The sequence below is a fragment of the Homo sapiens genome, chromosome 9 (genome assembly GCF_000001405.40).
Source record: "Homo sapiens chromosome 9, GRCh38.p14 Primary Assembly".
NCBI classification, from domain to species: domain Eukaryota; kingdom Metazoa; phylum Chordata; class Mammalia; order Primates; family Hominidae; genus Homo; species Homo sapiens.
The window spans coordinates 98,056,326-98,084,308 of record NC_000009.12 but is presented as its reverse complement, the minus strand read 5'-3'; the positions used below and the strand labels follow the sequence as shown (position 1 = coordinate 98,084,308).

The following is a 27,983-nucleotide window of genomic DNA, read 5'->3' as shown; positions in this document are numbered from 1 at the left end:
CCCAGTGATACCCCCACAGGTAAGCCCTCAGCATCCTGAATACATCATCCGCAGCCTGGGAACCTTCTCCCTCGTACAGCACAGGAACCTGACACATAGTAGGCACACAGTAAACATTTGTGAATGAATGGGAGTCATCCAGTCCTGACTCTTCTGTCTCTTGAGGTCCCTTGAATCTTCCGCTTCCTCCCCACCGATTTCAGCGTGTCCACATCACAGCTCCCTCCAGTTCATGTTGCTTCAAGTCCCTAGCACCCAGACCCAGAAGGGCCTTTACTCATATCTTATTCCTTACGCAGCCTTCTGGTAGTAGTCAGCTGCTCCCTGATTAACTATCTCCAGGGATGGGGCATTCACTGCTTCTGAAGATAACTCATTAAAGTTCTCACTTACGTGTAAACAAACCCTGACTCCCACCTGTTCCCATCCAAGATCGTATTATAGCTTGAACTCCTGGTCTCAAGCAATCCTCCCACCTCAGCCTCCTAAGTAGTTGGGATTACAGGCTCACACAAGCACGCCTGGCTCACATACCACCTTCTAACATATTGTGTGACTGAATCACTATGCTATGGATTTTTATGCATCTGCCCCCATCTGAATGGAAGTTCTCTGAGGAAGGGATTGGGGCTTGTTCATGGCCATATACTCTGTGCCTAAAGCAGTGCCTGGCACAAAGATGGCCCTCAATATTTGTTCAGAGAAGGAACACATGCCATTTCCCTCTCTTTGCTCTGAAAGGAGTGCTTTCAGCATTTTCTGCCTACAAGATCCTTTGACCAGTCCTTTCTCTGATGTGGAGTGACTGCTATACAATGCCAACTAAACACAGAGGCCAAGGGCAGGAAAGGGATAAAGACAATGGAGAAGTAAAGGGCTGTAAGGAAGTGAGAATGAAGGCTTAAAGGAAAGGACATGTGCAGCCAGCTCTCACCCCTCTCTGCAGCCACCCAGCAACTGGAGGATATGGACTTTGTTTGGAACCACCCCTTCTTCTGGTGCTCTGTTTATAATGCACTGTTGGCCAGTGCACTAAGCTGGCCAACTTGAAGGAGAGATTGCATCACTGGATCTTTTTCTGTCTCCAGTGGGCTGACACAGGGCCTAGCCCAGAAACATCTGCTGTCTAAGGAGCAGGTGGAGGTGGATGACAGCCAGGTCCCTGGAGACCGCCATTCCTGCCCTCGCCTCACTCAAACACACCTGACAGCATCAGCAAGGGAACTGAGAATTCAGAGAATGGCACTTTATTTTTAAGACTTGATTTTTTTGCCATGATTATCTACCAATTCTTCCATGATGGTGTCATCCTCTTCAACAGTGACCAGGACCTTCTTGCCCACTAGATTAAAGATGTCTTCAGGAGGATAGCCTTTGGGCTCACCCACCTTCACGGTGAGCATGTCCATTGTTAGAATGGTGCCTTCCGGAATTTTCACTTTGGCCACCACAGACTTGCCCAGCTGTGGACAAAATGAACATTCAGTGCCAGCTTCACAGAAGTAACTAGTGCACACTACTTTACTTTACACTCAAGGTCCCTGATCAGTCTTCCCCAGGCAGTACCTTGGGAGCAGGCACTCTGTTGCCCCCTACACTGCTCAGAATATCTCATACATGGCAGGAATTCAACCAGTATAGATTGAATTCAGAGACTCAGAGGAGGAGCCTTTACAACAAAGTGCAAAGGAAAGGGCTGAGGCTATGTAGGCGGAGCCAGGTTCAAATCCCAGTCTGTGGGGTATAGGCCACGTTTTAGTTTCTCTGTCAAATGGAAACTTATCCTGTCAGATGACTGTAAGGATTGGTGATATTACAGAATGTACGTGGAACATAGAATGCTCTCAATACATGCAAACTCTGATTCTTTTGGTTACCATTCAGCTCAGTATCTCATTGTAAACATGGGGAAACTGAGGCCCATACAGGGTGGGTGACTTGGCCAGGGTTGCAGACAGCCAAGATGAAACATAACATAGGGATGAGATTCTTAACTCCTGACACACCGTTCTCCAGGGCACACACCTTACCGCCACTTTGTTTGGTAAAATAGAAATATGAAGGACTCATAAGATGGTGAATGTGGCTGTTATGCAGATGGCAAGAAAAGGAGCCCCCGAGGAAGGGGCAGATAATACAGGCAGATGAGGGAATGAAGGGTACCTGAAGCTCATGACCAGTGTTTGTCTTCTCTATAAATGCTTTCAAATAAATTACGTGTTTTATTACTCTATATCCTCCACGTAAGAGTACAAGGAATCAATTCTGCTTGGAATGTGGTGCCAGGAAAAAATGTCAAGTGATAATCATGCATCCTGTTATGTTTTACTGTCTGCTCAGAGAGCCAAATTAAGTGCTCAGCTGTTATAAATCTTACTCTGGTTTCTGGTCTAATTCTCTCCTGTTTCCTCTATAAAGAAACTATTTCTTTTTACTTTATTTTAATTTCCTGGTATAGATGCATCTTTGATTTGGGGAAGCAGGTAGGCCCCACTAGAATAAAAGGTGACAACAGTCCCAGGCATGCCTGGTGTTTGGTCTTTGCCTTGACCCCGACAGCCTACAGGTTAGGTGTGTGTGTGCCTGGCAGCCCCAGGATGCCTGCCTGGCTCTATGACTCAGAAGGCAAGAAGGTCCAGGCCACGGCTTCCAGGAAGCCCTGATAGTCAGCATGCCAGGCAGTGCTTCTAGGCCCACCAGTTCCTCTGTCTGAAGGTCACTGTTGCACAAGGAATAGCTGCATCATCACCCACCCACCTCTGCAACGACTCACTGCCCTTCCCACCAGTGCCACCCTGGCTTAGGAAATGCCACAGGCTCTTCTGGTACCTCAGGGAACACCGTGCCTAAATGTTTCTCAGGGCTTACCTGCTCCAAGGGAGCCCAGACTTGACTTATTCCAGGGCCTCACTCCTGTTACATATTCTGGAGTCTAGGAGTACTGGGGCCATGGGCTTCAGAGAATTAGTGGAAGACTCTAATGTGACCCTAGGTGGCCAGAGAAACTGCTAAAGTTAGATAACATGTGTCTCCTGCTGCTGCTACAGGCCAGAGTGACATGCATTACTGAAGAGAAGCCTGAAGAAGCTGACACGGGTGGGAGCACATTCACTGATCATTTCATCAGCCTGGCTCAGGGAGGGCTGGTCCTGACCATCCCTCTCAGGCCAGCCTATCCTTTTTCCACACACGGCAGCAGAACCGAGTAGAGTCCGGCAGGACACACCTTCTCATTGCAGGCCATCTCACAGGGCAGCAGCTGCTTGGTTGGGGAGCCCAGGGCACGCTCCACAAGACGCACTGACCGCACCAGCTCGGCCAGTTCTCCAGGCTCCAGCGAGGCCGAGTGGTCACTCCCCTTCCAGGTCTTGTCCAAAGTTATGTGACGTTCCAACACCTTGGCCCCCAGAGCCACTGCGGCCACAGATATCGCTATGCCTGTTTCATGCCCAGAATACCCTATGGGAATGTCAGGAAAGAGCTTCTGATATTCCTTTAAAATGGAAAAAGAAAAATAACATTAAATATCATGCTGCTTTATGCATATTCTCCAGGTGAAGCGTATCTGGTTGAGCCCCGGTTTAGCCACTCACTAGCTGTGCAGCCAGGGGCAAGATACTGAGGCTCTCTGAGCCTCTCTTTCCTAGGGATGATAATAATACCTGCTGAGTGTTGCTGTAAATGCATGAGAAGCACTCAGCACATTGTAAATGCTCTAAAAATGGTTACTGTTATTCTAAAGAATGCATTTTAAGAATGTTTCACATTGCACAATACACCAAGAGTAACAACAGAACTATAAATGAATGTCTAACCTCATTCAAAAACCATCTGTCACATTTAATTAGCCTGAGCTGCTGAAAGCAAGTGTGCTATATGCACAAATATCATCAATAATATACACAGCCCAATCTCAAAACAATCCTTTGGTGAAAATGATAAATAATTAATCCGTTATCTATAATTCACTGAATGCAACAAAAGACACTCTAAGATGGGTGAGTCTTGTTGGTGAGGGTGACCAGAAAGCTGAGTACAGTAGAAAGACTCAGGTAGCGTGTATTATTATTTTATTGTTATTTATTATTTCTTTTTGAAACAGAGTCTTGCTCTGTCACCAAGGCTGGAGTGCAATGGCGTGATCTCAGCTCACTGCAACCTCTGCCTCCTGGGTTCAAGCGATTCTCCTGCCTCAGCCTCCTGAGCAGCTGGGACTATGGGTGCCCGCCACCACGCCCAGCTAATTTTTGTATTTTTAGTAGAGACAGGGTTTCGCCACATTGGCCAGGCTGGTCTCAAGCTCCTGGCCTCAAGCGGTCCACCTGCCTCAGCCTCCCAAAGTGCTGGGACTACTGGCATGAGCCACGGTGTCTGGCCTCAGGTGGGATTTAACAAAAGATTAGGAGGGTTAGGTGGCAAAGGCCTTGAAAACCAGGCTTAAGGGTGTGTGATGGAGTGCGGGTTGCTACAAGTTTGAAAATTCAAACCACTGTACTATGTGCAGGCCCAAGATGGGATAGGCTGGCAGAATAACTCCTGCAATGTGTAGTGTCAAGAGAGAGGACATGACAGCACCTTGAGTGGGGACGGAGATACACTGAAAAGGAAAATAGCTGGGGTCACGTCTACTAAACTGTTAATTATCGGAATCTCTGTGGGATGGGAGTGCAGGGGATGTTTACTTTCGACATTACATATTTCACAGAAATCATTTTTAAATTTTAAAAATAACGTGATTTAGATAAGCTGTAAGTGAAGCAAAAACAGGATTGGGAGGGACAGAAAGTTTAGGTAAAAAGAGAGTAATGTCAGTTTTCAAAAAGGCTAACTTTTTAAGTTAATGGCTGTATAACAACATGTAAGAAAGCTTATATTATGGGGAAAACAATGTCAAATACTATACTGAAAGGAAAATATAAAAGGAAAACAACTGCAATATCAGGATTCTAGTATGTGTGGATAGATAGATAGAATTCCATTAATGTTACTATAATAGTTTTAATGATAATTACATACATATTTTCGAATAAAGTTAAATTTCCAGTGCTACAGGAAGAACTGAGAGAGATGGCGTGAGACAGTAAGAGACAAAGGCCTAGGGGGACATGCCCAGGTTCTAGTTCCAGCTTTGCCACCAAGCTGCTGTGGGATCTCAGGCTTCCCGACTTGGGACTGGATTTCACCATCTGTGAAATGACTGAGTAGGCAAAATCGTGGGAGAGAGTAATTTCCATCAAGGCTGTCACTATAACTAGTATGAGCCTCAGGGATGCTCAGCATTAGAAAATAAGAGAGTCAGCAAATAAAGCAGAAAAAGCCAGGAAGTTTCAAGAAGGCCTCCTATAACTCAGTATGAAAAAAGATGAATATTTATCTGTACGCTAGTGTTCATAGCAGCATCATTCACAATAGCCAAAAGGTAAAATCATCCCAAATGTCTGTTGACAGACAGACTTTTTTTTTTTTTTTTTTCCCCCTGAGAGTCTCACTCTGTCACCCAGGCTTGAGTGCAGTGGTGCAATCTCGGCTCACTGCAACCTCTGCCTCCTGAATTCAAGCGATTCTCCTGCCTCAGCCTCCTGAGTAGCTGGGACCACAGGCACGCATCACCATGCCTGACTAATTTTTATATTTTTAATAAGAAGGGGTTTCACCATGTTGGCCAGGCTAGTCTCGAACTCCTGACCTCAGGTGATCTGCCCACCTCGACCTCCCAAAGTGCTGGGATTACAGGCATGACCCACCGCGCCTGGCCAAGAAAATTTCATTTACAGTCACCCTCTTTAGAATGTATGTGCTTCCTCAACTGCTTAGCTCGAATTTGATTTGGTAACAGCAAGACTGTCAAAGGATGTTCAAATTATAAAGTATGCCATGTTTGTTAGAATTTTGGTTATAAAAAAGACTACGCCTTCCCCATAGTAAATGGCCCAAGAAGGGAACCCCCTCCCTCCTGCTCACCGAGATGACCCGCAGGTTGACGTCCTCAGGCTGGAGCGGGTATGCGCTGGTACACTGCAAGAAGCAGAAGTTGGGGTTGAGGGGCTTCACGATCTGATAAACTTGCTTCATGGTGTCCATTGACTGCATCCCACTGGAGATCACCATTGGGCGACCTGAGTAATCCAGCACCAACACCATCAGCACTTTCTCTTTAGAGGTTCTGACTCTCCCCAACACATCCCAACTGCTGGTCTCATCATTCAACTGAACTCCACAGACATCTCTTAAAACACTGTGCCAGCCCCTGTGGGGGAACAGAGAGGAGCTTGTTGGGTTCCTGCCCTCGGCCACAGGAAAGGTGGGCTCCCCTCTGCCCCCCGACAGTGTTCTTGAGCAAAAGGAACTGAATTAAAGAGGCAGAGGAATTTCACACTGCCAAGAGGAAAATGAGTATCTTATCTGATTAATAGGTTGTATACCATGGCAGTACAGTAGAATGAGTGCTGATTCAAGAGTGTGAATGAATGTGAGGTGTGGAGCTGCCACTTCTAGCTGTGCCTGGGCAGAGTACTGTCCGTCTCTGAGTCTCAGAGGCCTCCCCTGTGAAATAAGTATCAAGCATCATAATCATGACCTGTTTCAGTCCTAGGAGTGTTATGAGGATCAAATGAAATTGTTCATGTTGTAAAACCACTTTACACGATCATGTCCCACTGCGGTCTCAAACTCAAGCAATCCTCCTACCTCAGCCTCCCGAGTAGCTGGGGCCACAGTAATGCACCACCATACCCAGCTAGGTTTTATATATACTGTCATATCCTTAATTTCTTATAAATTTTAGTTAAAAAATTTTCTAGGACAGGTGCAGTGGCTCACACCTGTAATCCCAACACTTTGGGAGGCTGAAGTAGGAGGATCACTTGAATCCAGGAGTTCAAGACCAACCTGGGCAACATAGACAGACCTTGTCTCTATTAAAAAAAAAAAAAAATTCTTAAAAAGAATTTCTAAATGTCTTATAAAAACTGTCATATTCTTAATTCATTTTCTTTCAAATTAGCTTACAAAAAATGGAAGTACAGGCTGATTGAAAAGAGGTTTCTGGCAGGGCACAGTGGCTCATGCCTGTAATCCTAGCACTTTGGGAGGTCGAGATGGGAGGATTGCTTTAGGCCAGGAGTTCAAGACCAACCTGGCCAACACAGCGAGACCCTATCTCTATTTAAAAAAATGAAAAGAGGCTAAAATTTGTCTTCATGAAATCTGCTGAAAGTGGGCCACCATGAGGGGAGTAAAAATATGAAGGTTTGGACTCCCTTCGATTTTAAGTCAAAAATTAGACACTTACCTTTTTTGGCTGTCTTTTCCAGATAAGGAAAATTATTAGTGTCTCCAGATCCAACTTTGAAAAATGGAACATTCAGTTCATGCAGGAATTCAACTGCCATCTACAAAAATCAAAGAGGGAGCTCCTTTTCACCATTGTCCAAAAACACTGTTGTTATGACAGGCAAGGAATAACATACAAGTAGAAAAACCCCTCATCTTAGGCAGTAGAGGGACGCTCAGCAACTTGAAAGCAGGCAAAGATTTGTTCTCAGTCATTTCATTCAAATGCAAACATTCATTTGCATCCACCCATCCATTAGCCCAACAAACGTTTGGTGCTGGTCTTTGCTGGCTACAGGAATCTGGAAAAGGGCTGGGCGTGGTGGCTCATGCCTGCACTTTGGGAGGCCGAGGCGGGCAGATCACCTGAGGTCAGGAGTTTGAGACTAGCCTGACCAACATGGTGAAACCCCGTCTCTACTAAAAATATAAAAATTAGCCGGGTGTGGTGGCGGGCACCTGTGATCCCAGCTACTCAGAAGGCTGAGGCAGGAGAATCACTTGAACCTGGGAGGCGGAGGTTGCAGTGAGCTGAGATCATGCCACTGCACTCCAGCCTGGGCCACAGAGCGAGACTCCATCTCAAAAAAAAAAAAGAATCTGGAAAAGAACCTTTCCCCTGGCCAGACCCTACCTGCCCCAGGGGCCCAAGGCCAAATGAACAAACATGAAACGGTCATGACCTAATCCTGACCCAGAAAACCAGGCAGTGAAAACATGAATAGCCTCAAAGGCTTTCCCTTCTACTCGGCCAAACGAGCAGGAAAAGGGGCTATTTCAATTCTTGGCGAAAGGGGGAAAATGGAGCATTTTTTTGCCCAGCCTCTACATAAGGATCCATGGCTGGCAGGGCCCATTCAACCCGAGCCCTTTCAGGCCTCAAAGCACGCTGCCTACTTAAAAGTGAACCTCAGTCACTTTTTTCAGATATAACGTCACTGCTTGAGGTTACCTATTTAGTGCTCTTCAACATCCTTCTCTAGTATTCATCAACAAGACTCAGGAAATTGGTAAATGTCAGCAAATGCTTGCTGAAGGAATCAGTGGATCACAAGTTATAAGAGTAAAATCTCAGTTTGCTGTCAAATTATAAGAACTCAAAAACTTTTTATTATCATTTCTTTCCAGCTTCAGTAAGGTGTAATTGATATACTAAAAACTGCACATAATGTAATTTGGTGAGTTGGGACTTAAGTATACACTACTGCTACCATCAGCACAAGAGTAATAAACATACACATCACCTTCAAAAGTTTTCTTGAGTCCCTTTGTTTTGTTTTGAAGTTGGAAATCAAAAGTCGAAAAAATCAATGTCTCTGAATGGTGACTCAGAAATAAGTTAGGGCTTAGTGAGTTGCTCACACTTGATCACATGGGCACAAATCTTTCCCTCTCCCAGGGAAGTTGCTGAAATGAAATGCAAACTCTGATTGGTCTAGGACCGACGGACCGACGGACCAACCAACCTACCTCCCTTCCTGTCTCCTTCCCTCCCTCCCTTCCTTCCTCCCTCCCTCCCTTTCCTCCCTTTCCTTCCTCCCTTTCCTTCCCTCCCTCTCTCCCTTTCCTTCCTCCCTCCCTCCCACCGTTTCCTTCCTTTCCTCCCTTCCTTCACCTTTCTCACTGCTCTTCCTCTGCTTTATTTTTAACTCTTCTCTTTTCCCCTTCCATCTTTTTCTTTTCTTTTGTGGTAGAGACGGGGTCTTGCTATGTTGCCCAGACTGGTCTCAAACTCCTGGGGTCAAGCAATCCTCCTGCCTCAGTCTCCCAAGTAGCTGGGACCACAAGCACGTGCCACCACATGTGGCTAATTTTTTTTTTTTTTTAATTTGCTGTGGAGATGGGGTCTTGCTATGTTGCCCGGGCTGTTCTCAAACTCCTGACCTCAAGCAGTTGTCCCACCCTGGCCTCCCACAGTGCTGGGGTTGCAAGCTTCAGCTGCCATGCCCAGTACCTTCCATACCTTTCCACCTCACTCCTTCCTGTTTGTGTCTCATAACACTGCTAACTAGCCCTAAGACAGAACTGAAAAAACATCAGTTTTAAATATATTTTTTCAATAAAATCTAATTTTCCTACCCTTCTCACTTCATTTGGCAGATGAAGAGAGTGCTTTCTGTTTAAAGAAGGAACCTTCCACTGAGTTTTCTTTTGTATAATGTTCATCTTGTGGGAGTGTGGTGTGGCCCACCAGGGCATAAACAGAAGCAGAAACCCCCCCAAGAGAGGGGCAGAGCGATCGGGGCAAGGAGGGGGGACAAGTGCAGAAAAACACCTTGTGAAAGCTTACCTACAGAGGCTGTAAAATCTGCATGGAATTCTGTAATTTTCAAGTAAAGAAAAAGGCCAATTCCTGCTGGAAAGGGAAGGGGCGCCTCATTTTGCCGCCTCCTGGGGAGCCAGCGCCACCCAGTGGACATTTAGAAAACTGCCACTCAGAGCCATCGGGCAAAGGGAATCTGAGTAATCTGGAAGATCCTAACTTTCAGCCCTAAGACAGTATCGCTGTGCCTAGGGGCTACTACAGGCTGGGTCAGCAACTGGTGACCCCTTTCTCTTCAGGGACTCCTTGACTTCCCCTAGCCTGCCGACCGTGCTATCGGGTTCCCTCTATCTGGGGTTCCATGCAGCCCGGCAGCCTCAGCACTCCTCTCTCCCTCCTGCCCCATAGCACAAAGTCTGTGGGAGTCTGAAGGGAGCTCAGGCATGTACAACTCTCCTCGGGCTCCCAGCTGAGTTCAACATGCAGAAATGGGTCCCATGGATAGCCTCGTTTGGGAGAAACACTACCCTGCCTTAATGCCTTCTTAGAGGGTCCCAGTAAATCAACTTAGCTGAGTTCCAAACCCAGTGTTTCCCAAACTTATTCGACTCAGAACTTTATTAATTCTGGCCAGGCATGGTAGCCCATGCCTGTAATCCCAGCACTTTGGGAGGCCAAGGCAGGAGGATCATTTTAGCCCAGGAGTTTGACACCAGCCTAGGCAACATGGCGAAATCCCGTTTCTACAAAACATATAAAAATTAGCCGGGTGTGTGGTGTGTGCCTGCAGTCCCAGCTACTCAGGAGGCTGAAGTGGGAGGATTGCTTGAACCCAGGAGGTTGAGGCTGCACTGAGCTGAGGTCGTGTCACTGCACTCCAGCCTGGGTGACAAAACAAAAAATAAACCAAAAAACCCTTTATTGATTCTAAATCAATTAATGAATGAGGGTGGACAACACGTGCCCACAGAACCCCATTTCTGTACTGTGTCCTGTGGGACACTCTGGGAACTGCTGATCTGAGTCAGGGGTAAGGAAAGAGAGGAGTGGAGCTGAGATTTTTCTAAAGTCCCTTCCTCTCCCCTCAGGTTTTGGATCCTTCAGGATTGGAAAAAAAAAAAAAGAAGCCCAGGCCAGGCGCGGTGGCTCACGCCTGTAATCCCAGCACTTTGGGAGGCCGTGGCGGGCAGATCACGAGGTCAGGAGTTTGACACCAGCCTGGCCAACATGGTGAAACCCCGCCTCTACTAAAAATACAAAAATTAGCCCGGCGTGTTGGTGTGTGTCTGTAATCCCAGCTACTCGGGAGGCTAAGGCAGGACAATTACTTGAACCTGGGAGGTGGAGGTTGCAGTGAGCCAAGAGCATGCCATTGCACTCCAGCCTGGGTGACAGAGCAAGACTCCGTCTCAAAAAAAAAAAAAAAAAAAAAAAAAAAAAAAGCCCATGGTGATGAGCTGGGGAGAACAGGGAGTCAGGGGAAGGGTGTAGCCACAAATAGGCTGGGCCAGCCTCAGGGCAGCAGCCTGTCAGAGGGCACCGTGCCTAGGACAGAGGCAGGTGCTGGAGGGAAGGGCGGCTTTGCTGGGATGGCCACTGTGTGTGAGGAGAGCATGTCCCTCAGGAGTCACCTTTTTGGTCATGGCTTCCATTTGCCTTCTCAATAGAACTTTCCTTTTAGACTAAAGACATTCTGCTGTTTCACCTGAGTTCCACAGCCTTGGTGCAACTTTCAACCAGAAGCCCTGACGGTTTTCTTGGCCTTAATAAAATTCTGCCACACCTTAACCTTTCCTCAGCACACAGAGAACGCCCTAGAACAGCATACAGTGTGGAGAAAATATGCATTCAATAAATGCCTGTTTCTATAAGGAAGTTAGGGTAGGTAAACACTGGGAGCCACTTGCTAGGTAAATACAGAACAAGGAACCAATCTACCTCCAACAGTTTGACAGAGGGCAAGGTAAATTAACTCTCGTAAAGGCTCTTAAAGAATGCACTTTCCTGCCGGGCACGGTGGCTCCCGCCTATAATCCCAGCACTTTGGGAGGCCGAGGTGGGTGGATCATGAGGTCAGGAGTTCAAGACCACCCTGGCCAACATGGTGAAACTCTGTCTCTACTAAAAATACAAAAATTAGCTGGGCATGGTAGCGGGCACCTGTAGTCCCAGCTACTCGGGAGGCTGAGGCAGAGAACTGCTTGAACCCGTGAGGTGGAGGTTGCAGTGAGCAGAGATTGCGCAACTGCACTCCAGCTTGGGCGACACAGCGAGACTCCGTCTCAAAAAAAAAAAAAAAATGCACTTTCCCTCACTGCCTGTGCCCTAGGTCAGGCAGGGGACTAGCTGGGGACAAAAGGCATTCCTCATCCAGAGGAACCTACCTGCCCAAATAGGCTGAGGCAGAAAAACTCCAAAGGGTTCTGAGTCACAGAACAGCCATCGCTGGGTGAGTGTAGACCTGGCCCTGTGCTGGCACCCCACGGGTTTAGCTCCCTGAATCCTCCAGATAGCCCCAGGAGCATCTTAACAATCCTGTTTTTACAGACGGGGGCCACTGCGGCTCCAAGGTTACATGAGGAGCCCAAGCCACACAGAGTGTGAGCACCAGGAGCTGAGCTCAGAGAGCCTGACTCTAAAACACCCATCACAGACACCAAGCAAATGGGCTGCCTGGGGAGCAGAGGGAAGGAAAACCAAGGAGGAAGCCCCGCTGCAAACACCAGACTCCTCCCTATCACCCAACTGCTCCGGGTTCTCAACCGATGCCACCTGCAGGGCACGGCCTAAAGAAGTGACTCCGCCTTGGCAGCCTCACGGGCAAGGAGGCACCTTTCTCCTAGGTCAGATCCAGGAGCTCAGGGAGCTTGCATTTCCAGGAAACGTGGACGGAAGCAGAAAAGTCCCCAATCCAGGTGCAAGTCACCTTGATGACATCTTCCCTGGTTCTGCGCTGACTCAGGACATCAGAATAGAGAGAACCACTGGATGGTAGCTTGGTCACACACGGAAAATGAAATGGTGGCCCAGGCAGGGAAGGGGCTCACCAAGGTCACACTGAGAGTTAAGGACAAAGCCAGGACAAGTACCCAGATGTCCCAGCCTGCAAGTACCCAGATGTCCTAGCCCTTAGCCCAGGTTGCTTTCCTTAATTGTAACTGATATTCACTGAATACTGATTGTGTACTATGCTTTATATTAACGATCACATTTAATCTTCACTTTCCCTCCCAGATGGGTTCTGCTAGGAAGCCCACTTTACAACTGAAGAAAACAGGCACAAAAAGGTTAAATAACCTCCACATGGATATACCAAAAATAACAGGCAGAGCCATATTCAAACTTAAAATCTGACCCTAGAGTCCATTCACTTGGCCACTGGGCCATATAGCCCGGGTATGGGCCACACAGCAGGGTGTGTACCACAGAGCTGGGGTGTGCATCATACAGTCGGGGGTATGTACCATACAGCTGAGGTGTGTACCATACAGTCGTGCCATCATATAGCCAGGTACACACCACACAGCTGGGGTATGTGTATACAGCATTCAGCATGGAGTCCCAAATGTTTTCATCTTCAAATTCTTAAAAATTACTAAGGAGGCCAAGTGCAGTGGCTCACACCTGTAATCCTAGCACTTTGGGAGGCCGAGGTGGGAGACTGTTTGAGGCCCAGAGTTTAAGACCAGCCTGGGCAACATAGGGAGACCCCATCTCTACAAAAAAATTTAGAAATTAGCTGGTTGTGGTGGCATGGACCTGTAGTCCCAGCTACTAAGAAGGCTGAGGTGGGAGGATCGCTTGAGCCTGGGCCGTCAAGGCTGCGGTGAGCTATGAGCTATGATTGTGCTGCTACTCTCCAGCCTGGGCAACAGAGTGAGACCCTGTCTCAAAAAAAAAAAAAAATTACTAAAGAGTCTGCAGATCTTTTTTATTTTTATTTTTTGATGTGGTTTTATTTATTCGTATTTGCTGAATTAAAAATTAAAATTGTGACCAGGCGCGATGGCTCATGCCTGTAATCCCAGCACTTTGGGAGGACAAGGTGGGCGGATCACCTGAGGTCGGGAGTTTGAGACCAGCCTGGCCAAATGGTAAAACCTCATCTCTACTAAAAATACAAAAATTAGTCGGGTGTGGTGGCGGGTACCTATAATCCTAGCTACTCAGGAGGCTGAGGCACAAGAATCTCTTGAACCCAGGAGGCAGAAGTTGCAGTGAGCCAAGATCACGCCATTGCACTCCGGCCTGGCCAACAGAGTGAAATAAATAAATAAAATAAAAATTTAAAATGAAAGCTGGGCACGGTGGCTCACACCTGCAATCCCAGCACTTTGGGAGGCTGAGGCAGGCAGATCACCTGAGGTCAGGAGTTCAAGACCAGCCTGGTCAACATGGTGAAACCCCGTCTCTACTAAAAATACAAAAATTAGCTGGGCATGGTGGCATACACCTGTAGTCCCAGCTACTTGGGAGGCTGAAGCAGGAGAACTGCTTGAACCTGGGAGGCGAAGGTTACAGTGAGCCACAATCGTGCCACTGCACTCCAGCCTGCGTGACAGCAAGACTCTGTCTCAAAAAATAAAATATAAAATAAAATAGAGGAATCTTTTCTTAATTTTAAACTTTGAATTTTGAGATAATGGTAGATTCAGGTGCAACTGTAAGAAAGAACACAGAGAGATACTATATACTCTTCCCCCAGTTTCCCCCAATGGTAATGTCTTGTAAAACTATAGTACAATACCACAACTGGGTGAATGACATTGACAAAGTCAACCAATCTTATTCAGATTTCACCATTTCTACAAGTATTCATTTCTGTGTGCCTATATTTAATTATATGCAATTTTACCCCATGCACAGACTCATGTGAGCACTGCCACGGTCACCATACAGAAGGTACCATGATGCCACTGCTACAAGGATCTTTCATGTCACCCCTTTATAACCACATCCCCTTCCCCTTACTAACCTTTGGCAACTACTCATCTGTTCTCCACTGTCATAATTCTGTTATTTCCAGAATGTCATGGAAGCAGAATCGTACAGTATGTTCCCTTCTGCATATGCTGCTTTCTCACTCAGCATCATTTCCTTGAGATGCATCCAGGCTGCTGCACGCATCAATAGTTCATTCCTGGCTGGGCGCGGTGGCTCACGCCTGTAATCCCAGCGCTTTGGGAGGCCGATGTGGGTGGATCACAAGGTCAGGAGTTTGAGACTAGCCTGGCCAAGATGGTGAAACCCCATCTCTGCAAAAAATACAAAAATTAGCCGGGCACCATGGCATGTGCCTGTAATCCCTGCTACTCAGGAGGCTGAGGAAGGAGAATCACTTGAACCCGGGCAGCGGAGGTTGCAGTGAGCCGAGATCACACCACTGCACTCCAGCCTGGGCAATAGAGTGAGACTCCGTTTCAAAAAAAAAAAGAAAAATAGTTCATTCCTTTTGATTGCTGAGTAGTACTCTACGGTATGCATGTACTACAGTTTGTTTCACCATTCACCCACTAAAGAACATTTTGCTTGTTCTAGTTTTGAGCTACTAAGAATAAAAGTTGTAATGACACTCACATACAGGTTTTTGTATGAATGTTAAGTTTTCATTTCTTTGGGGATAAATTACCAAATGACAACTGGTGGGTCATATGATAAACACATTATCTAGCTTTATAAGAAACTCCCAGTCTATGTTAAGTGGTTGAATTATACAGTATATGAATTATGTCCCAATAAAGCTGTTTAAAAAAGAAGGAATGAAACTGCCATACTGTTTTCTAGAGTGATTGGATCATTCTACATTCCCACCAGCAATATATGAATGATCTATTTTCTTTGTATCCTTGACACCATGTGGTGTTATCAATTTTTTTTTTTTTTTTAGAGACAGGATCTCACTCTTTTGCCAAGGCTGGAGTCTGGAGTTCACTGGTGCAATCATGGCTTACCACAGCCTCAAGCTCCTGGGTTCAAGGAAGCCTCCCGCCTTCCTGCCTCAGCCTCCCAAGCAGCTGAGGCTACAGGCACACACCACAATGCCTGGCTTTTTTTTTTTTTTTTAATAGATGGGGTCTTGCTATTGTTGCCCAGGCTGGTCTTGAACTCCTGGCCTCAAGCGACCCTCCTACCTCAGCTTCCCAAAGTACTGGGATTTCAGGAGTGAGCCACTGCATCCAGCCAACCACTTTTTACTTTAACGATACTGACAGCTGTGCAGTGATATCACATTGTGGTTTAAAACTGAGAAATAAAGGAAAAAAAAAAGCTAAAAATGGCTGGTGAGGTGGCTGACACCTGTAATCCTAGCATTTGGGAGGCCGAGGAAGGCAGATCACTTGAGATCAGGAGTTCGAGACCAGCCTGACCAACAAGGTGAAACTCCATCTCTACCAAGAGATACAAAAAAAAATTAGCTGGGCATGGTGGTGTGCGCCTGTAATCCCAGCTACCTGGGAGGCTGAGGCATGAGAATCGCTTGAACCCGGGAGTTGGAGGTTGTAGTGAGCTGAGATTATACCACTGCACTCCAGTCTGGGTGACAGAGTGTAACCCTATCTCAAAAATAAAAATAAATGAGAAATTTTTAAACATATAAATAGATAAACACAAGAAGAAAAAAAGATAATTTGGACATCATCAAAATTAAAGATGTTTGTAATTCAGAGGACACTATCAAGTAAGTGAAAAAGGGCGAGGCATGGTGGCTCATGCCTGTAATCCCAGCACTTTGGGAGGCCAAGGTTGGCTGTTCGCTTGAGCTCAGGAGTTTGAGACCAGCCTGGGCTACATAGTGAGATCTTGTCTCTACAAAAAATACAAAAATTAGCTGAGTCTGATGGCGCATGCCTATAGTCCTAGCTACTTAGGAGGCTGAGGTGGGAGGATTGCTTGAGCTCAGGAGGCCAGGGTTGCAGTGAGCCGATATTGCACCACTCTGCACTCCAGCCTGGGCGACAGAGCAAGACCGTATCTCACAAAAAAAAAAGAAAGTGAAAAAGACAACCCAAAGACTAGGAAAGTTTTTTACAATCATTTATCTACTAAAGGACTTGTACTTAAAATATATAAAGACAATTCATTGGAAGGCTATACATGAAAAAATAATTAAATTTCAAAAGAATATATAAAGAAAAATAATCCAATTCTTAAAACTGACAAAGGATCTGAATAGACATTCTTCCAAAGAAGATATGCAGATGACCAACAGACACATGAAAAGATGCATCAGAGAAATGCAAATCACAACCACAATGAGACACCATGTCACATCCACTAGGATGGCTAGAATCAGGAGGTAATCACAAATGATGAGGATGTGAAGCAACTGGCACCATCAAACCCTGCTGGCGGGAATGGTGCAGCCATTTTGGCAAGCAGTCTGGCAGTTCCTCAAAAAAGTTAAACATAGAGTTACCAGGTGACCCAGCAATTCCACTCATATATGTAATACCGAAGAGAAATGAACACATGTCCATATAAAACCTGTACATAAAAGCTCACAGCAGCATTATTCATAACAGCCAAAGAGTAGAAACAACCCAAATGTCCACCAGCTGACAAATGGGTAAATAAAATGTAGTATAGCCATAAAATTGAATTATGAGTTAGTCAAAAAAAGAAATGAAGTACTGATATATGCTACAACATAAATGAAAACACAATGTTATATGAAAGAAGTCAGGCTCGAAGGACCACATATTGTATGATTCTATTTATATGCAATATCCAGAATAGGCAAATTTATAGAGACAGAAATTTGAGGCTGGACGCAGTGGCTCACACCTACAATCCCAGCACTTTGGGAGGCCAAGGCAAGTGGATCACCTGAGGTTAGAAGTTCAAGATCAGCCTGGTCAACATGGTGAAACCCTGTCTCCACTAAAAATACAAAAATTAGCTGGGCAGGGTGGTGCATGACTGCAATCCCAGCTACTCGGGAGGCTGAGGCAGGAGAATTGCTTGAACCTGAGAGGTGGAGGTTGCAGTGAGCCAAGATCCTACCACTGCACTCCAGCCTGGGCAATAGAGCGAGACTCTGTCTCAAAAAAAAAAAAAAATCGGTAAGTGGTTGCCTAGGCCTGGGAGAATTGGGGCAATTGAGGAGTGCTGCTAATAGGTAGTTTTTCCTTTGGGGGTGATAAAAAATGTTCTAACGGTAATTGTATTAATGGTTGCACAACTCTGTAAATATTACTAAACACCACTGAATTGTACCCTCGATTGGGTGAATTGGATGGTGTGTCAATAAAACTGTTCTTTAAAAAGACACACAACACACCTTCCATTAGGTGAGCCGCTGCCAGAGGAATGATGTCATCACACATCACCTAGCCTCTGGAAAACTCCACTATATACTTGTGAGAATGATGATGGAAAGGACAAATAACATTTGAGTATCATTATGGAAATAGCTTTGCCTTTGTGGACCTCCTGAAAGGGCTCATGAATCCCCCAGGGGTTCCTGAACCACACTTTGGAAACCGCCTTCATATACTTCTCATTACTCTGATTGGTTATTATTGTTTTTAATTGTCACTGCAATGAAATGCACACATAACATTTCTCCTTACTATGGATTCAACACTAGGTATGGTCAAGTTTTAGAAAAACTGTGTCCTGGGGAAGCAACTATGGAGGAGGAGGGATGACAAAACTACTGAGCCTAATTATTTTTAACAACCAGGTTAGGACTTAGTCCTCCAAATGAAAGTGCTTCTCAAAGTGATTACTCTGGGGAAGGCTGTAAGCTGTAATTGGACTTACAGTTTCACATGGCTGGGCAGGTCTCAGAATCATGGTGGGGGGCAAAAGGCACTTCTTACATGGCAGCAGCAAGAGAAAATGAGGAAGAAGCAAAAGCAGAAACCCCTGATAAACCCATCAGATCTCATGAGACTCATTCACTATCATGAGAATAGCACGGGAAAGACCAGCCCCCATGATTCAACTACCTCCCTTTGGGTCCCTCCCACAACACGTGGGAATTCTGGGAGATAAAATTCAAGTTGAGATTTCGGTGGAGACACAGCCAAACCGTTATCATTCTGTCTCCAGGGGGAAAAAAAAAAAAGCAGCTGGATGCAGAGGCTTACGCCTGTAATCCTAACACTTTGGGAGGCCAAGAAGGGTGGATCACCTGAGGTCAGGAGTTCGAGACCAGCCTGGCCAACATGGTGAAACCCCGTCTCTACTAAAAATACAAAAAAAAAAAAAAAAAAAAAAAAAAATTAGCTGGGCATGGTGGTGGACGCCTGTAATCCCATCTACTTGGGAGGCTGAGGCAGGAGAATTGCTTGAACCCAGGAGGCGGAAGTCGCAGTGAGCCGAGATTGCACCATTGATTGCACTCCAGCCTGGGCAACAATAACGAAACTCTGTTTCAAAAAAAAAAAAAAAAAAAAAGCACCAGGAGTGACTAACACTTTAAAAGAATAATATTATTTCACCAGAAGCTAAACATTGTAATTCTCTGTTGAAAAACAATCCTATTTATTTAGAGGACACCACATACAATCTCAGAAACTCTCCTGGGCTGTGAGTACGCCCAGAAGGATTAACACAATAATGTCCCTTTGGTTCTGTTGTTGATACTTACAAGACCTATTCCTTTCTGAATGCAGGCTGCTATGTCACCAGTTTGAACTGAATTTGAGCAAACCCAGGTCTCAGATTTGAAACTGGATGCAGAGTGAGGCCCCTGCCCCAGGTTGCAGGGCAGTAATTAACTGAAGATCAGCAATATATCTAACTAACCTTTTTACGTAGGTTTAAAAAAAAAATCTGTCCCCACTCCCAAGGCAGCTCTTGGGCCCAGAGACTCTCCAGCCAACTTCAGTCTTGAACTGGTACCGAGCGTGGTGCATGCGGAGACTCTCCTGAGCTTTCAGGCATTCACAGTGGGAGTCTACGCTCTGGGAAGCCTGGGCTGCCAGCCAGGCAGCAGCAGCTGAGGGACTGTGGAAAGCATACTGCTCTAGGCATCAGATCTGCTACCTTTAAGACCCATTTCCTAACTGTGTGATACTGAACAAACTTCTGGCCCCTCTGGTCCTCCATTTCTTCATCTGTAAAATGGGGCACTGTAGGGATAAAATATATTACTGTATGTGAAGATGCTTCATAAACAATAATGTGTACTTCAAAAGTAGGGAATTAGGGCGGGTGCGGTGGCTTACACCTGTAATCCCAGAACTTTGGGAGGCCGAGGCAGGCGGATCACTGAAGGTCAGGAGTTCAAGACCAGCCTGGTCAACATGGTGAAACCCCATCTCTACTAAAAATATACAAAAACTAGCCGTGTGTGGTGGCAGGCGCCTGTAATCCCAGCTACTCAGGAGGCTGAGGCACGAGAATAACTTGAACCCGGGAGGTGGAGGTTGCAGTGAGCCAAGATCGTGCCATTGCACTCCAGCTTGAGCAACAGACCAAGACTCCGTCTTTAAAAAAAAAAAATAGGGAATTAGGATTGTTAAGTACACAACTGCATTTGAAGAATGTCATGCGTACGAATGCTGTGAATTAAGGAATGAATTTGGTCTACAGAAGTGTAGCCTGAAACTGCCAAGTTCTCTAGAGGCCTAGGTTCTCCACCTTCCTCCTTTTTTAAACCACCCATTACCTCTGGCCTGAGCTGCATGTGTGCTTCTTTCAACTCAGTCGACACACATGTTTTAGAACTGGAAAAGTGGCACAGAGTCAGAAGTCTGCTTCAAATAACCTGGTTGACCAAAAGAAAAAGTGTTTCAAGACCCATAAAAATGTTCTAAGGTTTTACCTAAAAATCTATTTCTAAGAAGCCATCTTAAGGAAACAACCCCAAACAGAGAAAAGATGTCTATCTCAGCACTACTTATTAGCACAAAAAAACAGGCTGGGTGCAGTGGCTTAAACCTGTAATCCCAGCACTTTGGGAGGCCTAGATGGGAGGATCACTTGAGGCCAGGAGTTCAAGATCAATCTGGGCAACACAGTGAGACCCTGTCTCTATAAATTTTTTTTTTAATTAGCCAAGCGTGTTGGCACATGCCTGTAGTCCCAGCTACTCAGCAGGCTGAGACAGGAGGATCACTTGAGGCCAGGAGTTTGAGACTGCAGTAAGCTATGATTGCATCGTTGCACTCCAGCATGGGTGACAAAACAAGATCCCATCTCAAAAAACAAAAAAAACTAGGCCAGGCACAGTGGCTCACACCTGTAATCCCAGCACTTTGGGAGGCTGAGGCAGATGGATAACCTGAGGTCAAAAGTTCGAGACCAGCCTGGCCAACATGGTGAAACCCCATCTCTACTAAAAATACAAAATTTAGCTGGGCCTGGTGGCAGGTGCCTGTAATCCCAGCTACTCAGGAGGCTGAGCCATGAGAATAACTTGAACCTGGGAGGCAGAGGTTGCAGTGAGCTGAGATCACACCACTCCACTCCAGCCTGGGAGACAGTGAGACTCTGTCTCAAAACAAGCAAACAACAACAAAAAATAAAACTGGGCTGGGCATGGTGGCTCACACCCGTAATCCCCAGACCTTTGGGAGGCTGGGGCGGGCGGATGGGCTGAGGTCAGGAGTTTGAGATCAGCCTGGCTAACATGGTGAAACCCTGTCTCCACTAAAAATACAAAAAAAATCAGCCAGGCCTGGTGGTGCATGCATACTTGGGAGACTGAGACAGGAGAATCGCTTCAACCTGGGAGGCGGGGGTTGCAGCGAGCCGAGATCACGCCACTGTACTCCAGCCTGGGTGACAGAGTGAGACTCCATCTCAAAAAAATAAAATAAATAAAATAAAATAAAATTGAAGAAACTTTTTTTAATTTTAAACTTTGAATTTTGAGATAATGGTAGATTCACATGCAGCTGTAAGAAAGAACACAGAGAAATCCTATATACTCTTCCCCCAGTTTTTTTGAGACTCTGTCTCAAAAAAAAAAAAAAAAAAAACTGAAATAACTTCCGTATCCAAAAGTAGAGGAATGGTTAGGTACAGTATAGTACATGCACCAAAAGAAATATTACGTTGCTATTAAAATCTTTAAGCATAAGGTGGGGTAAAAGTTTGTGCTATAATGTTAACTAAAACAAGCAGGCACAGAACTCGATGTTCACTAAATAGTACCAGCAGGCAATAAAACAAGAATATAAAAAGACTTCAGGAGGAAATATATAAAAAGAACTGCTATAGAGGGATTATGGGTCAGTTTTTTCCCTTTTCTCATTTTCTAAACTTTCTGTAATGTTATTTTTACAAGTAAAATTTTTTTTACATTCAAAAGAACACATGAAGGAATTTTAAGGAGGCAGGTCACAGAGCAGATGGGACCTGAGACCTGGCACGAGCTGTACTCTTCCAGGATGTAGCATGGCCAAGCCAAAAACCACCGGTGACCATCCTGTGAGCCATTCCCTTCTGGACAGTGCCAGTGTCCCCCCACTCAAGTCAGTCAAGGCTAGTCAGCAAGGAGCGGACTCCAGAACTGTGGTTTCCTTGCTCTATTTTTTTTTTTTTTTATTAAGAGACAGGGTCTTGCTCTATCACCCAGGCTGGAGTGCTGTGGTCCAGTCATGGCTAACTGCAGTCTCAAATACATGGGATCAAGCAATCCTCAGCCTCCCAGACTACAGGAGTACGCCACCACGCCTGGCTAATTTTTGTGTTTTTTGTAGAGATAGGGTCTCCCTGTGTTGCCCACACTGGTCTTGAGCTCCTGGCCTCAAGCAGTCCTTCCAGCTCAGCCTCCCAAAGCTCTGGGATTACAGGTGTGAGCCACCACACCCAGGCCCTGGTTCCCAGACCATTTTCTACTGGGAGAAACCTGGCCCAGCTGGGGTGTCCCTACAGCTTGGAGGGACTCTGGGATTCCAGTGTGGCTGACCCCTACTTCCAGAGACAACTTGTTATTGTTATTACTATTATTATTATTATTAATTTTTTTTTTTTTTGAGACGGAATCTTGCTCTATCACCAGGCTGGAGTGCAGTGGCGCGATCTCGGCTTACTGCAACCTCCACCTCCCAGGTTCAAGCGATTCTCCTGCCTCAGCCTCCCAAGTAGCTGGGACTACAGACGCATGCCACCACGCCCAGCTAATTTTTTGTATTTTAGTAGAGACAGGGTTTCACCATGTTGGCCAGGATGATCTTGATCTCTTGACCTCGTGACCTGCCTGTCTCAGCCTCCCAAAGTGCTGGGATTACAGGTGTGAGACACCGCGCCTGGCCTTTTTTTTTTTTTTTTTTAATTTGAGATGGACTCTTGTTCTGTTGCCCAGGCTGGAGCACAGTGGTGTGATCTCGGCTCACTGCAACCTCCACCTCCCAGGTTCAAGTGATTCTCCTGCCTCAGCCTCCCAAGTAACTGGGATTACAGGCACGCACCACCATGCCCAGCTAATTTTTGTATTTTTAGTAGAGATGGGGTTTCACCATGTTGGCCAGGCTGGTCTCGAACTCCTGACCTCAGGTGATCCATCCCCCTCAGTCTCCCAAAGTGCCGGGATTACAGGTGTGAGCCATCAAGCCCGGCCAGAGACAATGTGTTTTTAAAACAATGGCATCCTTCCCACAGATTCTCACTGGGCTTTGGCGCCTGCTAGCCTCTCCAGTAGCTGGGAACAGAAAGGATGAGCAAGGGCTGGAGGTGGCCCTAAGCCGGAAGTCACCAGGCTGCCTGCTGACCCTTGGTCTGCTAAAGTGACAAATGACAGAGCAGCAGAGGACTCACCTCATCCATGCCAGAGGCAGTGAAGAAGATCCCAACCTCCTCGGCGTACCTCTGCAGCTCCCTGTACTGGTCATGGCTGAACTCCAGATGTCGTTTGTGCTCCCCGTACGTCTTCCCCCAGGAATGCTTCGAGGTGTATGGCCTCTCCAAGGCTTTCCGATTAAACTTGAATTCTAGCTCACTCTTCTGGAACTTAGCACAATCAGCCCCACACTCCTACAACACACATTAGGACATCTTTCAGTGACTGTCGTAGATTCTCAAAAAAAGGAAAAAATTCTGGAGCAACCACTATGACATCACCATCTTTATTTATTTATTTATTTAGAGACAGAGTTTCGCTCTTTCACCCAGGCTGGAGTGCAGAAGGTGTGATCTCGGCTCACTACAACCAATGCCTCCCGGGTTCAAGCCATTCTCCTGCCTCAGCCTCCCAAGTAGCTGGGATTACAGGCACCCACCACGACACCCGGCTAATTTTTGTTATTTTTAGTAAAGACAAGGTTTCGCCACATTGGCCAGGCTGGTCTTGAACTCCTGACCTCAGGTGATCCAAACGCCTTGGCCTCCCAAAGTGCTGGGATTACAGGCATGAGTCACTGCGCCCAGCCGACATCACCATCTTTAAAAACAACATAGACTGACAGAGACCTTAAGGACCTCCAAGGAAGAGGAACAGAAAAGGCAAGAAAGTCTGAAAGGAAGAAAAGGTTGTTTGGAGATGGGAGACCTCCCCCTATTTTTTTCTCTTAACATGCCAAAAGAAAAAAAAATGGGACTTTTTTCCTTTGTTTTGCATTGTAAATATTAAAAACATTGGATCAAAGAGTTAAGGAAGATTTTAAGTTATATAACTGAGCAAAGAATAGTCAACTCAGCACTGGACCAGAATTTAGTAAAGAAAAATTCTGGTTTAACTTTGACCCTAACTCTTAGATAAGTCACTTCCCAGCTCTGGACTCAGTTTCTCCATCGATATAAAAGCAGTTTGGGCTACCTCCAGGATGTGTAAACTGTCCTAATGAGGCCCTCTCAGGGACAGGAACATCCAGGGACAGTGCCCTATGCCTCTTTCTCTGATTTCAACAATAGCAACTCTGCTTTTAGCTGCTTTGCACTGGCGCTTTTCTCCATGACATTTTCTTTGAACAGGTTACATGTTAAAAAGCAGACAAACAAAACAAAAATGCCCCAGCCCCTAGATGACTTCTACTGAGCAGAGGCAATAATATAAAAGCCGGATTGTTTGACTATAAAAAAAAAAAAACAAAAAACACTCAAGAGGTCAGGCACAGTGGCCCATGCCTATAATCCAAACACTTTGAGAGGCCAAGGTGGGAGGATTGCTTGAACCAAGGAGTTCAAGACCAGCCTCGGCAACATAGTAAGACCCTGTCTCTACAAAAAATATAAAAATTAGCCAGGCATGGTGGCATACGCTTGTAGTCCCAGCTACTCAGGAGGCTGAGGGGGGAGGATCGCTTGATCCCCAGAGGTTGAGGTGGCAATGAGCTATGATGGTGCCACTGCACTCCAGCCTGAGCAACAGAGTGAGACCTTGACTCAAACAAAAACAATCTACTCAAGAAAAAGAGTAATTAAAACCCACTAAAGTCCCATCTCACGGCCATTTCTGTAGACACAGAGGTATTCATGCTATTAAAAACTTCTTGGCTGCCGGGCGCAGTGGCTCACACCTGTAATCCCAGCACTCTGGGAGGCCGAGGTGGGCAGATCACGAGGTCAGGAGATCGAGACCATCCTGGCTAACATGGTGAAACCCCGTCTCTACTAAAAATACAAAAAATTAGCTAGGTGTGGTGGTGGGCACCTGTAATCCCAGCTACTCGGGAGGCTGAGACAGGAGAACGGTGTGAACCCAGGAGGCGGAGCTTGCAGTAAGCCGAGATCACGCCACTGCACTCCAGCCTGGGTGACACAGCGAGACTCCGTCTTGAAAAAAAAAAATAAAAACTTCTTGGGTCCAGAAATGTCAGTGCTGAGATCACTACTCCTGCTCTTAGACAAATCATAAGATGGTAGAGTCAGGACTTGATGCTGGAAAGTTCAAAGAACATTAGAACTGAAAGTGACCTTGGGCAACAGAGCTCTCATTGTCTAGATGAAGATCCCAAGGCCCAGACTGACCTGACTAAAGTTGCACAGTGTCTCTAGCAGAGCTGGCCAGATCCCTTTCCTAAAGGCTGCAGCCACCTAGATTCCAGCTCAATGGAATTAGAGACAGGGTCTCGCTATGTGGCCCAGGCTGGTCTCGAATTCCTGAGCTCAAGCAATCTGCCTTCCTCAGCCTCCCAAAGTGATGGGATTACAGGAATCAGCCACTGCACCTGGTCAGTACAGCTTTGTTTCTATGGCTTCAGTATCTCTAGATATTTCTACAACTTCGGCATTCCAAGAGGAAAAACAGACTGCTCCTTCAAATTAAGAGTGGGAATTTCCCTCTAGAAAACAATGTTGCAGAAGAAAGGCTGGAGTCCTGTGGCTTAGGAGCAAAAACTGAAAAAACCCCTTACTGTATTTATTATACTAGCTATGTGACCTTGCCTAAGTCACTTATTTTCTCTTAGCCTTTAAAATGAAATCGGCAGCATCATGGCATTGGGTTGTTGTAAAAATTAAATGAGATGGTGCATGTACAGCATTTAGCTTAGTACCTGGTAGAGTAAGCACTCAAAAAATGTTAGCAATGTTATTTTTGTAAAGTATTTTTATGATTCAGTGATTAGGTTTCCATAAAACCAGTCCCGAAGGAACAGCAAGGGCCGAGGGTGGTGGCTCACACCTGTAATCCCAGCACTTTCGGAGGCCAAGGTGGGCAGATTGCTTGAGCTCAGGAGTTCGAGACCAGCCTGGGTAACATGGCCAAACCCCATCTCTACAAAAAAATTAGCCCAGCATGGTGGTTCACGCCTGTGGGTCCCAGCTACTCGGGAGGCTGAGGTGGGAGAATCACTTAAGCCTGGGAGGCAGAGGTTGCAGTGAGCCGGGATCATGCCACTGCACTCCAGCCTGGGTGATACAGAGACCCTGTCTCAAAAAAAAAAAAAAAAAAAACCAGGAAAAAAAAAAAAAAACAGTAAGAGAAAACCTCCAGCCTGGGTGACAGAGCAAGACCCTGTCTCTAACATAGATAAATAAATAAATAAACATTTAAAAAACCTATCACAAATGATACAAAATCAGTTGAGTAGCATTGATGAAGGGAAAGGAAAGATGGGGTGAGCTATCTCTAAACCAAAGAATCATAGTGCAGGCCAGGCCTTATGCTGGGGGCTGGGGTCGTAATGAAGAATATGGCAGTCCCAACAGAAGAGGGAGCACGCATTTACCGACTCATGTGTGCCAAGTGCTGGGCTCAGAGCTCTATCTGAGAATCTCATTTGATCCCCATAACAACTCCATGTGGAAAGAACTGTTGTTTTCAAGCCCCGTTTTCAAATGGGGAAAAGGGTTCACGGAGGCTAAGTAAGCAGCCCATGTTCACACAGCTAGTAGTGGTGGAACTGAGATTTGAACTCAAAGGCCCGGCTTTTAACCACTTCATATTTCATATACAGGGAATGGCGGGTGAGAGAGACCACAGCAACTTCCAGGAACTGTCATTCCTGAAAGTAACTCTGTGTCGCTGAAGAATGTCAGAGAAGAATTATGACGGGCTGGAAGGGGCCCAGTCATTAAAATCTTGAAGGCTATGTTAAAGGGTTTCGACTCTACCCGCGGGCAGGAGGGAGCCACAGAAGGTGCCAGGCAGGGGGGATGGTCTGATCAAGTCTGACTTTTAGAAAGATTATTCTGGCACCAGAACGGGGAGGAAACAGGTCGGGTTAGGAGGCAGCTGCTGTAATGCAGAAAGGTCACGAGGGTGGCGGACACGGTGAGGAAGAGGGATCCGAAGGATTCCGAAAACGGAACTGGCGGGCGGGAAGAGGCCGGACCAGGGTACCCAGCCGCGGAGGCCGTGTGGCCCTGGCTCCCCGCGGCCCCGCCCCGCCCCTCCCGGCGCCCGAATCCCGGGTCCCGGGAGCTGCCGCCTCACCTTGGCCATGCGGATCATGCGCTTGGCTACGTCCAGGTCGCCCTGGTGGTTCTGGCCGATCTCGGCAATGATGAAGCACGGGTGTTGCCCGCCCACCCAGCGCCCGGGACACAGCTCCAGCTCCAGCGGCATTGCAGCGGCTCGGGGTCCAAAGCCTCACTACCAGTCTGGGTCCGGCCGCCGCCGCCGCCGCCTCTACTCTGTTCTGTGAGCAACGCTGCGAGACCCACACGCCAGCCCCGCCACGTCAGCCCGCGGTCGCCGGGCAGCCAATCCCCTAGGCCCCGCCTCTCTCCCGACAGCCAATCGGGGCGGGGGGCGGGGGCGGGGCCTCCCGCGGGAAGGGCGGCGGGGCGGGTCGAGGAAGCTCCGCGGCCCTCTCCTGTGCGAGGCTTGAGGCTTGCTGTCCCAGAGCGTGGTCTCGGACCATCGCGGTATCCGTGCGTGCACCCAGGAGCAAGCATTCCCTGCAGGAGGCGGACGGCTGCCTGCGCAGGGCATAGTCTATGTCCTGCTCTCAGGAGCATGGGGAGAGCGCGCCCTATGGTGTAATGGAAAAAACAGGGTTGCTAGAGTTAGAATCACAGAGCTGGATCGAGTCCAGCCTATGCCAGT

At 46.7% G+C, this 27,983-nt stretch overlaps 2 protein-coding genes across 11 annotated transcripts in view, besides 5 other annotated features; one reads left to right on the top strand and one right to left on the bottom strand.

Moving 5' to 3' along the window:
• The window catches only part of TRIM14 (tripartite motif containing 14), an 83,426-nt gene that overhangs the window by 34,914 nt on the left and 20,529 nt on the right, over window positions 1-27,983 (top strand). For 2 of the 7 annotated variants that reach the window (XM_005252320.5, XM_047424163.1), the window contains exon 7: window positions 742-2,524. The exons of 1 other annotated variant lie outside the window; for it this stretch is intronic. The gene's annotated coding sequence lies outside the window, so the exon portion shown is untranslated. Of the gene's footprint in view, window positions 1-19; window positions 2,525-5,922; window positions 6,119-14,461; window positions 15,356-23,155; window positions 23,174-27,983 lie in introns of those variants that run through there. 4 more of the 7 variants (XR_929880.4, XM_047424161.1, XM_047424160.1 and 1 more) reach the window with 4 other exon arrangements.
• Window positions 1,232-27,577, bottom strand: NANS (N-acetylneuraminate synthase). 4 transcript variants are annotated; one of them, NM_018946.4, is made up of 6 exons: window positions 27,369-27,577; window positions 23,312-23,527; window positions 7,292-7,391; window positions 5,962-6,116; window positions 3,227-3,493; window positions 1,232-1,463 (listed from the first exon to the last, which is right to left on the bottom strand). In NM_018946.4, the coding sequence occupies exons 1-6, from the start codon at window positions 27,498-27,500 to the stop codon at window positions 1,254-1,256; spliced, it is 1,080 nt and encodes a 359-aa protein (NP_061819.2). In that variant the 5' UTR covers window positions 27,501-27,577; the 3' UTR covers window positions 1,232-1,253. The 4 variants fall into 4 exon arrangements, with proteins under 4 accessions (NP_061819.2, XP_011517089.1, XP_047279432.1 ...); XM_011518787.3 differs by lacking the exon at window positions 27,369-27,577 and adding an exon at window positions 8,577-8,739 and having other exon boundaries at window positions 23,312-23,392; XM_047423476.1 differs by lacking the exons at window positions 23,312-23,527; window positions 27,369-27,577 and adding exons at window positions 8,577-8,739; window positions 14,571-14,660.
• Window positions 8,870-9,676: an enhancer, noted in NCBI's record as "H3K27ac-H3K4me1 hESC enhancer chr9:100836915-100837721 (GRCh37/hg19 assembly coordinates)". NCBI's record gives its function as "activates a minimal SCP1, AML or CMV promoter by ChIP-STARR-seq in naive H9 embryonic stem cells {active_cell/tissue: H9 hESC(naive)}" and the evidence as "EXISTENCE:reporter gene assay evidence [ECO:0000049][PMID:30033119]".
• Window positions 12,137-12,637: an enhancer, noted in NCBI's record as "H3K4me1 hESC enhancer chr9:100833954-100834454 (GRCh37/hg19 assembly coordinates)". NCBI's record gives its function as "activates a minimal SCP1, AML or CMV promoter by ChIP-STARR-seq in naive H9 embryonic stem cells {active_cell/tissue: H9 hESC(naive)}" and the evidence as "EXISTENCE:reporter gene assay evidence [ECO:0000049][PMID:30033119]".
• Window positions 26,859-26,978: an enhancer, noted in NCBI's record as "active region_28688". NCBI's record gives its function as "activates an Ori minimal core promoter by ATAC-STARR-seq in GM12878 lymphoblastoid cells {active_cell/tissue: GM12878}" and the evidence as "EXISTENCE:reporter gene assay evidence [ECO:0000049][PMID:35858748]".
• Window positions 27,229-27,398: a silencer, noted in NCBI's record as "silent region_20113". NCBI's record gives its function as "represses an Ori minimal core promoter by ATAC-STARR-seq in GM12878 lymphoblastoid cells {active_cell/tissue: GM12878}" and the evidence as "EXISTENCE:reporter gene assay evidence [ECO:0000049][PMID:35858748]".
• Window positions 27,479-27,828: a silencer, noted in NCBI's record as "silent region_20112". NCBI's record gives its function as "represses an Ori minimal core promoter by ATAC-STARR-seq in GM12878 lymphoblastoid cells {active_cell/tissue: GM12878}" and the evidence as "EXISTENCE:reporter gene assay evidence [ECO:0000049][PMID:35858748]".

What these genes read in the sequence shown, in the direction of transcription:
- NANS (NM_018946.4), bottom strand. Translation starts at nt 27,500, where the DNA reads ATGCCGCTGGAGCTGGAGCTGTGTCCCGGGCGCTGGGTGGGCGGGCAA. An exon ending in CTGCCTCTGGCATGGATGAG is followed by an intron (nt 7,392 to 23,311) that starts GTGAGTCCTCTG and finishes TGATTTTTGTAG; the next exon opens with ATGGCAGTTGAATTCCTGCA. An exon ending in AGATGGCCTGCAATGAGAAG is followed by an intron (nt 1,464 to 3,226) that starts GTGTGTCCTGCC and finishes TTTTGTCCACAG; the next exon opens with CTGGGCAAGTCTGTGGTGGC.